The sequence below is a fragment of the Homo sapiens genome, chromosome 19 (genome assembly GCF_000001405.40).
Source record: "Homo sapiens chromosome 19, GRCh38.p14 Primary Assembly".
Classification (NCBI taxonomy): Eukaryota; Metazoa; Chordata; class Mammalia; order Primates; family Hominidae; genus Homo; species Homo sapiens.
This window is the reverse complement of record NC_000019.10, coordinates 20,758,251-20,767,216: the sequence shown is the minus strand read 5'-3', so window position 1 is coordinate 20,767,216 and position 8,966 is coordinate 20,758,251. Positions and strand designations below refer to the sequence as shown.

General features: G+C 39.3%; 1 pseudogene; it reads right to left on the bottom strand.

Moving 5' to 3' along the window:
* VN1R79P (vomeronasal 1 receptor 79 pseudogene) lies at positions 8,079–8,753 on the bottom strand (annotated as a pseudogene).

The window sequence follows — 8,966 nt, the reverse complement described above, 5'->3', positions numbered from 1 at the left end:
ATGATATTTTCCTATTGGACTAGTCCTTTTTTATCATTATATAATGTCCCTCTTTGTGTTTTTTATTTTTTACCTGTTTTTGCTTTAAAGCTTGTTTGTCTGATGTAAGAATGGCTACTACTGCTTGCTTTCAGGGTATCAGGGTACGTTTACATGGAATATCTTTTTCCAATCCTTTACCTTAAGTTTATGTTAGTCCTTATGTGTTGGGTGAGTCTCTGGAAGACAGCAGATATTTTATTGGTAAACTCTTATCTATTCTGCTATTGTGTATGTTTTAAGTGGAGCATTTAGGCCATTTACATTCAACATTAGTATTGAGGTGTGAAGGACTGTTCTATTCATTGTGCCAGTAGTTTCCTGAATACCTCTTATATTGTGTTATTGTTTTATAGGCCTTGTGAGATTTATGCCTTAAGGAGGTTCTATTTCAGTGTATTTTGAGGTTTTGTTTCAAGATTTAGAACACTTTTTAGCAGTTCTTACAGTGGTGGCTTGGTAGTGGTGAATTCTCTAAGCATTTGTTTGTCTGGAAAAGACCGTATCTTTCTTCATTTATGAAGCTTATTTTCACTGAATACAAAATTTGGGCTGATGCTTGTCTTGTTTAAGGAGGCTAAACATAGGACCCCAATCCCTTCTAGCTTGTAGGGATTCTGTTGAGAAATCTGCTGGTAATCTGATATGTTTTTCTTTATAGGTTACCTGATGCTTTTTTCTCACAGCTCTTAAAAATCTTTCCTGTATATTGACTTCAGATAACCTGATGACTGTGTGCCTAGGTGATGATCTTCTTGTGATGAATTTCCTTGGAGTTCTTTGAACTTCTTGTATTTGGATGTCTAGATCTCTAGTAAGGCCAGGAAAGTTTTTCTCAGTTATTTCCTCAAATAAGTTTTCCAAACTTTTAGATTTCACTTCTTCCCTGGGGACACCAATTATTCTTAGGTTTGGTTTTTTACATAATTCCAAGCTTCTTGGAGGTTTGGTTCATTTTTTAAATTCTTTTTTGTCTTCATTAGATTGGGTTAATTCAAAAGCCTTGTCTTTGAGCTCTGAAGTTCTTTCTTTTACTTGTTTGGATCTATTTTTGTAATTTTCTACTATGTTTTGCATTTCTCTAAGTGTGCCTTTCATTTCCAGAAGTTGTGATTTTTTTTTATTTATGCTATCTATTTCTCTGGTAATTTTTTTCACCCATATCCTGTATTTTAAAAAAAAAATTCTTTCAGTTAGTATTTATCTTTCTCCAGTGCCTCTTTAAGTGGCTTAATAATGGACCTTATGAATTCTTTTTTCTGCAATTCAGAGATTTCTTCTTGGTTTGCATCCATTGCTAGGGAGCTAGTGTGGTCTTTCCAAGGTGTTAAAAAATTTTTCCTTTGTTATGTTACCAAAATTGTTTTTTTGGTTCCTTCTCATTTGGGTTTTCTATGTCAGAGGAAAGAGCTGAGGCTCTAGGCTGCTGTTCAGATTATTTTGTTTCATGGGGTGATCCCTTGACATGATAGTCTCCCCTTTTCCCTTGGGATGGGGCTTCCTGAGAGCCAGGAATTGTTATTGATCTTCTGGGTTTAACCACCCAGTGGAGCTACTGGGCTCTGGGCTGGTACTGGGGAGTGTCTGCAAAGAGTCCTGTGATGTGATCTGTCTTCAGGTTTCTCAGCCATGGATTCTACCACCTGCTCTGGTAGAGGTAGCAGGGGAGTAAAGTGGACTCTGTGAGGGTGGTTGGTTGTAGTTCTGTTTAGTGCACTGGTTTTTTTTTTTCTTTTTTTGGATGCTGGTTGTTCTAGCAGTGAAGTTGTCACATGAAAGACTGAGGACTTCTGGTTAGCCAGGATGTTACAGGTGATGGAATTAGCTGTTGTTTTCTCCTTTATTGGAGTGAGGTTGTTCTTTTTTTTTTTTTTTTTTTTTGAGATGGAGTTATGCTCTTGTTGCCCAGGCTGGAGTGCAATCATGCGATCTTGGCTCCCCGCAATCTCTGCCTCCCAGGTTCAAGGGATTCTCCTGCCTCAGCCTCCCAGGTAGCTGGGATTACAGGCATGCACCACCAAGCCTGTCTAATTTTGTATTTTTAGTAGAAACTGGATGTGGTTTCTCTATGTTGGTCAGGGGGGTCTGGAACTCCTGACCTCAGGTGATCCACCCATCTCAGCCTCCCAAAATGCTGGGATTACAGGTGTGAGCCACACCACCTGGTTGGGGTTCTTTGATGAGTTGATGTAATGGCTTGAGTTGGTTGGCCTCCAACCTAGAGGTGGGATTTTCAATACGGCATCAGTTGTGGTAGTATAGGGTGTAGGCAAGCTTGCCATTGGGTCACCTGGATAAGTATTCAGGTTTCTCAGGCAATGGGTGGGAACATAGAGCTCCCAAGAGAGTATGTTTTTTGTCTTCAGCTACCAGCATGGGTAGAGTAAGGGCATCAGGCGAGGACAAGGTTAGACCTGTCTGAGCTCAGACCCTCCTTGGGTGGGGCTTGCTGCAGCTGCTGTGGGGTTGGGAGTATGGATCTCAGGCCAATGGAGTTATGTTCCCAGGGGGATTATGGCTGCCTCTGCTGTATCATACAGGTCAGGATGGAAGTGAAGGAAAGCCAGCAGTGACAGGCCTCACTCAGCTCCCATGAAGCCAGCAAGGCCAGTTTCATTCACACCCTACCCCACAAACAGCACCAAGTTTATATCCAGTCCGTGAGCAGTACTGAGATCTTGCCCCAGGCTATAAGCCTCCCCATTGAGAAAGCAACCTGGGCTTTCAGGCGCCACCCCTCACCACCTGCCATGGCTTTTGTGCCCGTATCTGTGCTTCTCATTCACTGTCCCCTCATCGATTCTGCCAAGGAACATTGACACTAGGTCAAAATTCTTACAGGGTTTAGCTGGAAGTTTTCTTCTCCCTGTAGCCCTTCCCCAATTCCACTGGCAGCCCTTCCCAAGGACCCCTGTGAGATAAAGTCAGAAATGGCTTCCCTGAGGATCAAGAGTGCCTATGGGGCTCTTCCCACTGCTTCTGCTTTTATATTTTGCTTGGCTCTCTAAATTCATTTCGGCCCTAGGTAAGGCTAAATCCTTCTCTGGTAATCTGGATTTTCAGGTTTTGAGTATGTGTGTTTAGAGGTGAATGTTCCTTCTCTTACACTTTTGGCACTTGCTGTTTTTCAGTTGTCTCGCAGAGGTTGCAGTGGCAAGCCACTTCTTTCAAAGAGTCTGTGCATTCTTTTGGTTTTCCTGGTATGTTCCTATGGTAGTTCTTGGAGTAAAAGTTCATGATGAGAGTCTCCACATGCTGTTCTGTCCATCCAAGCAGGAGATACAAATTAATCCTGTCTCCTGGCTACCTTTTTTTTTTTTTTTTGCCTTCTGAGAGAGAAATATTGATTGACCATCACAGATTTTAAAAAAAAGATCAGTAAGCATTCTCTCTCTTTCTTTATTGTTTCAAATAGAACTCTACTTTTTCTTCAGGCTACTGATTTAGTTTCTTATTATACATTTATTTATTTATTTATCTGTTTCTTATTGACTGTGCTCACCACTAGACCAACTGCAAATAATTCAACTGCAGAAATATAGGGTAAGTCTTTCATAAATGATTACTCATTAACTATAAATCCACAAAATTTTCATGTTAACATTCATCTGATCTGCCCTCATCTGGCCTGCTACAGAATGCTTGAAGTTAGATTAAAAATAATCTACCGATAAATATTCATTGATAGAACACTGAAAGGTGAAGCCTGCTGGTGAAAACATTGTTCCTTCATTACCAGAAATGAAGTAGATACATTTATTTCTTGACTTGGTATTATGCTTCATTTGTGTGTGTTTATTTTTATCCAGTACCATGCTATTTGCTTACTGTAGCTTTTTTTTGAGACAGGTTTCAGTCTGTTGCCCAGGGTGGAGTGCAGTTGCTTCATCGTGGCTCACTGCAGCCTCAACTTCACAGGATCTAGGAATCCTCTCACCTCCGCATCTCAAGTAGCTGAGACTATGGGTTTGTGCCATTAAACTCTGCTAATTTTTCTATTTTTTGTAGAGATGGTGTTTTGCTATGGTGCCAAGGCTGGTCTAGAACTCCTGGACTCAAGCAACCCACCTTGGCCTCCCAAAGTGCTGGGATCACAGGTGTGAGCCACTGCACCTGGCCTTACTGTAGCTTTGTAATATATTCAGAAACCAGGTAGTATGATGCCTCCAGCTTTGTTGTTTTTCCTCAATATTGCTTAGGCTATTCTGGGTCTTTCATGAATTGATAGAGATTTGATAATTACTTTTTAAATTCTGAGAAAAATATAATTGGAATTTTTATAAGGATTGCATTTAATCTGTAGATCACTTTGGGTAGTATGGACATTTTTACAATATTAATTCTTTCAATTCATAAGCATGGTGTATCTTTCAATTTTTTAGTTCCTTCAATTTATTTAATGTTTTAGAGTTTTTAGTGTATAGATCTTTTACCTCTTTCAATAAATTTATTTCTACGTATTTCATTCTTTTTTATGTTTTTGTAAATGAGATTATTAATCTCAATCCCTGTCTACACATCTATTCAACTTCAACAGATTTAGAGATTAAACCAAATACATGTGAAAATGCAGGAGAGGGAAGAAACTCAAAGTTTTCTAGTTTTGTAAAATACAGGTGCCCAGTTTAGCATCCTGTGTCATGCCTTGTGGTGCCAAGCATTGCATTAAGCTTAAACTTAAGCTCAAATTGACTTCTTATTTGGGATAACCCAAAGATAGAGAAATTCATCATCCTGATTTTACACAGATGGAGACGGCTGCTTAGAGAGAATAAATGAATATACAGAATCACATGGCTGGTACACAGTAAACTGGAACTTCTAGAAGAAACCATCTGACCTTGAACTTGAAATGAGCTGGGCAGCTTCTTACCATCTGTCTATGAAAAGGCCAGAGATACCAGAGGGTGGCCTTTGAGTCTTTGGTGAATAGGTGAAAACTTCAAATGTTGATACTCAGGAGAAAGGAGTTAGATTGACCCAACACTTGATGGAACACTTATTTTTAACTTAATGCAGCCATAAAAGTGTTTATAACATTTGGGGCTTTGAGTTCTTCAATTAAGGCAGAATTTCTATAGAGTATACTTTTCCCTATAAAATGTATTTAGCCATTGATAACTCTATGTAGCTCTGTGAAATATGTGCTTATTAGACAGATCAGGTGTTTTGGCTAAGAATAAGATGAATAATTGTGTTTGTAATAAAATATATTTATAAATAATTTTGATTCTGAATATTTAAAAACTATTAACTATTGTTTGAATATGTCTTTGTCCAAAACATATATATACATTTTATATAATATATAGAATATATGTATATATATAATACACACATAGATAATCATATGTAATATAGATGATAATATAACTGTACCTTCTGTGGCTATTATGAGCTTCATTGGTCACCAGCTCCAGGATATGGGGCATCAGGTACTCAAGAGTGGCAGCAAGAAACATAAGCATGGAAGAGTCCAGGCACTGGGCACAGCAGATCTCCCACAAGAGGTGTCCAAACATATCATGGAGAACTGCAGCTCTGCTCTTGCTAAGAAGGTGAATCTGCATTTTTTTTCTTTTTTTTTTTTTTTGAGAAGAAGTCTCTCTCTGTCACCCAGGCTGGAGTGCAGTGGCGCTATCTTGGCTCACTGCACGCTCCACCTGCCAGGTTCTACCAATTCTCCCGCCTAAGCCTCTCGAGCAGCTGGGACTACAGGCGTGCGCAGCCACGCCCAGCTAATGTTTTTGTATTTTCAGTATAGATGGGGTTTCACCATGTTGGCCAGGCTGGTCTTGATATCCTGACCTGGTGATCTGCCCGCCTCAGCCTCCCAAGTGTTTGGATTAGAGGCATGAGCCACCGCTCCTGGCCTCTTTTTTTTTTTTTTTTTTTTTTTTGAGACCGAGTTTTGCTCTTGTTGCCCAGGCTGGAGTGCAATTGCACGATCTCGGCTCACCACAACATCCGCCTCCCAGGTCCAAATGATTCTCCTGCCTCAGCCGCCTAAGTAGCTGGGTAGGCTGGTCTTGAACTCTGAACCTCAGGTAATCCACCGGCCTCGGCCTCACAAAGTGCTGACATTACAGGCATGAGCCACCGTGCCTGGCTATTTTTTTGCTTTGTTTGTTTGTTTTGTTTTTAGACAGAGTGTCACTCTGTCGCCCAGGCTGGAGTGACGTGGCATGAGTTCAGCTCAGTCCAACCTCTGCATCCTGACTTCAAGAGATTCTCCTGGCTCAGTCTCCTGAGTAGCTGGGATTACAGGCGTGAGTAGCTGGGATTACAGGCTCAGTCTCCTGAGTAGCTGGGATTACAGCCACCATGCTCAGCTAATTTTTGTAATTTTAGTAGAGACCAGGTTTCACCATATTGGTCAGGGTGGTCTTGAACTCCTGATCTCGTGATCTGCCCACTTGGGCCTCTGAAAGTTTTGTGATTACAGGTGTGAGCCTGGCCATTTGACTCTTTTTTGCACTGGTTATCATATCGGCTGATTCCTCAGATGTTAAATAAATATTTTAATATGTGTTCCTATCTTTATGAGTGTCACGAATTTATAATTTTTTAAAAAAACTACGTTTTAAGCACTTTTTATGTCACACTGATATGCCCAATGGATTTATCTACCAAAAGCACCCAGACTTCTATGACAGAGGGTTACACAGTTGAACCTGGGTGTTTTTATTTGAATATCTAGGTGACTAAAGCTTCAGTAGAACTTTGTGGACTCTGTTTTCATTTTAGTTTCAATTTTCCTTTCAGCTAACTTAGTGTTTCAGTGTTTTTCTGCTGCATTTAGAGCATATTATCTAGTCTTTATCATTGGCAACAGTGGCTTGAAGTTTGTTTATAAAATTATGTTTATCGAGATAAAATTCACATAACATCAAATTCAATATATTAATTATTTTCAGGTTTACACTTCAGTATCTTTTTGTGTATTTGCAATGCTTTACAATCATTACCACTGTGTAATTTTAGAACTGTATAATTAACAAAAAAAAATCTCCACACCCATCATTCAGCCACTTTCTATTTTCCCTAGCAGCCTCTGGCAACCATTAATCCACTTTCTGTTTCAAAGGATTTGCCTATTTTGGGAATTTTATACAAATGGATTCATAAAGTACATGACCCTTTTTGGATAGCTTTTTCCATCAAGCATAATGTCTTTAATATGTATCCATGTTGTGTCCCATATTGGCACATCATTCCTTTTTCTGGCGGAATACTATTGCCTTGTATACTACATCACATTTGTCTATCTAGTCCTCCATGGACTATTTGCACTGCTCTCACCTTTTGGCCATAACAAATAATGTTTCTATGGACACGCATATACATGTTTTTGTGTGGACCTATTTTGATTTCAGTTGAGTATATACTCAGAAGTGGAATTGCTAAGACATGTAGTAACTCTATGTTAACCTCAGGAAGAACTGCCAAAGTGTTTTCCAAAACTGCTGCCTAATTTTGCACTCTATGAGGGTTTCAATTTTTCCACATCTTCACCCACACTGATCTGTCTTCTGAAATATACCTGTACCCATAGGTATGAAGTGATATATCACTGTGGTTTTGACTTACATCTTTCTAGTGAATAAAGATGTTGTGCATCTTTTCATGTGCTCATTGGCCACTTGTACAGAATAAAAATCTTGGAGCCACTGGTCCAGATTATGAGTCTCAAACACATGTTACAAACAGATTTTCGGTGCTCCACAAGAAATAGCACTCAGCAAGGCAAATTTACTTCTATAAAAGGGTGCACCTCGTAAATTAAGCAATGGCAAGGGCACACAAAACAAAGGAAGTGCGAGTTTCTATTATCTCTAATGCAGCTTCTACTTCTGTGTCTTTCCTCTATCGGTTAGGGTTGGACCGCACAGTCTCAACTAGTCCCAACTGGCTAAATACTTCAAATTTTTTAGATAAGTTAGTCACATAAGGGAGTTAAGAGAGAGAGAATGGGGTCCATTATGTGGGAACTAGGAAAGCAACCTATTCTCTAAAAAGGAAAATAATGCAGACTGGGACTTGGGTTGCAACAATTTCATTCATGTCTAGGCATAGTTAGGTAAGTTGGTGCACAGTTGAGGTAAGGAATACTTGGAATTATAGAATAGAGAATGGGGAAACTGGATAAGCTATTTGAAGAGTGAACCTAACTGTATCTAACACACAAACACCATGCAATATGATAATGTTGTGCACAGTAAGCTGGTAATTCTGTTATTATCTAATGAAGAACAGTATCTTAAATCTTTTTTCTTTGAATTGTTTTTGCTGTTCGATTTGCCAATCACATGCATAGAAAAAATGGTATTTATCAGTGTATTTCCAATCCAGGACAAGATGTTGGGGGACCCAATATATTTGGGGGTTTGTAGTTTCAACTGTGCCCACCTGGAGTTCATGGGGCTGACAATGATGGCTGGAAGATACTCAAGAGGGAGGTGGTGGCAAAGCACACACCTCTGCCCACTCTGTGAACATAGAAAACATGTTTGCATGCAATATCACTGAGGAAATGCTTGAAATTAAAAGAAGTCATTGTCTGTGAAGCTGCTTTGGAGAATATGACCAAGATGTTGGCTATAGCCAGGTGCTTGAGAATCAAATCTGTGGACTTTAATATCCACCCGGTATAACAAAGTGGCAAAAAAAAAATTCCTCAATAATCCAACTGTTGTCTGAGAAAAGAAGATCATTCCTATTTCCAAATTCCTGGAGGCCTTTCATTATTTTCCAATTACTAATATTTTCATTCAGAGTGAGAATATCCTGCATTGACACATAAGGTCTGTTTTATTGTGGCAACTGAAATGGGCTATTGTTCACATACCATTGTTTCCAACTTAAAACTTTGTTTTTAAATTCCACTTTTCTTTCACTAAGATTTTTTCTATTCTCTCTCTATATAT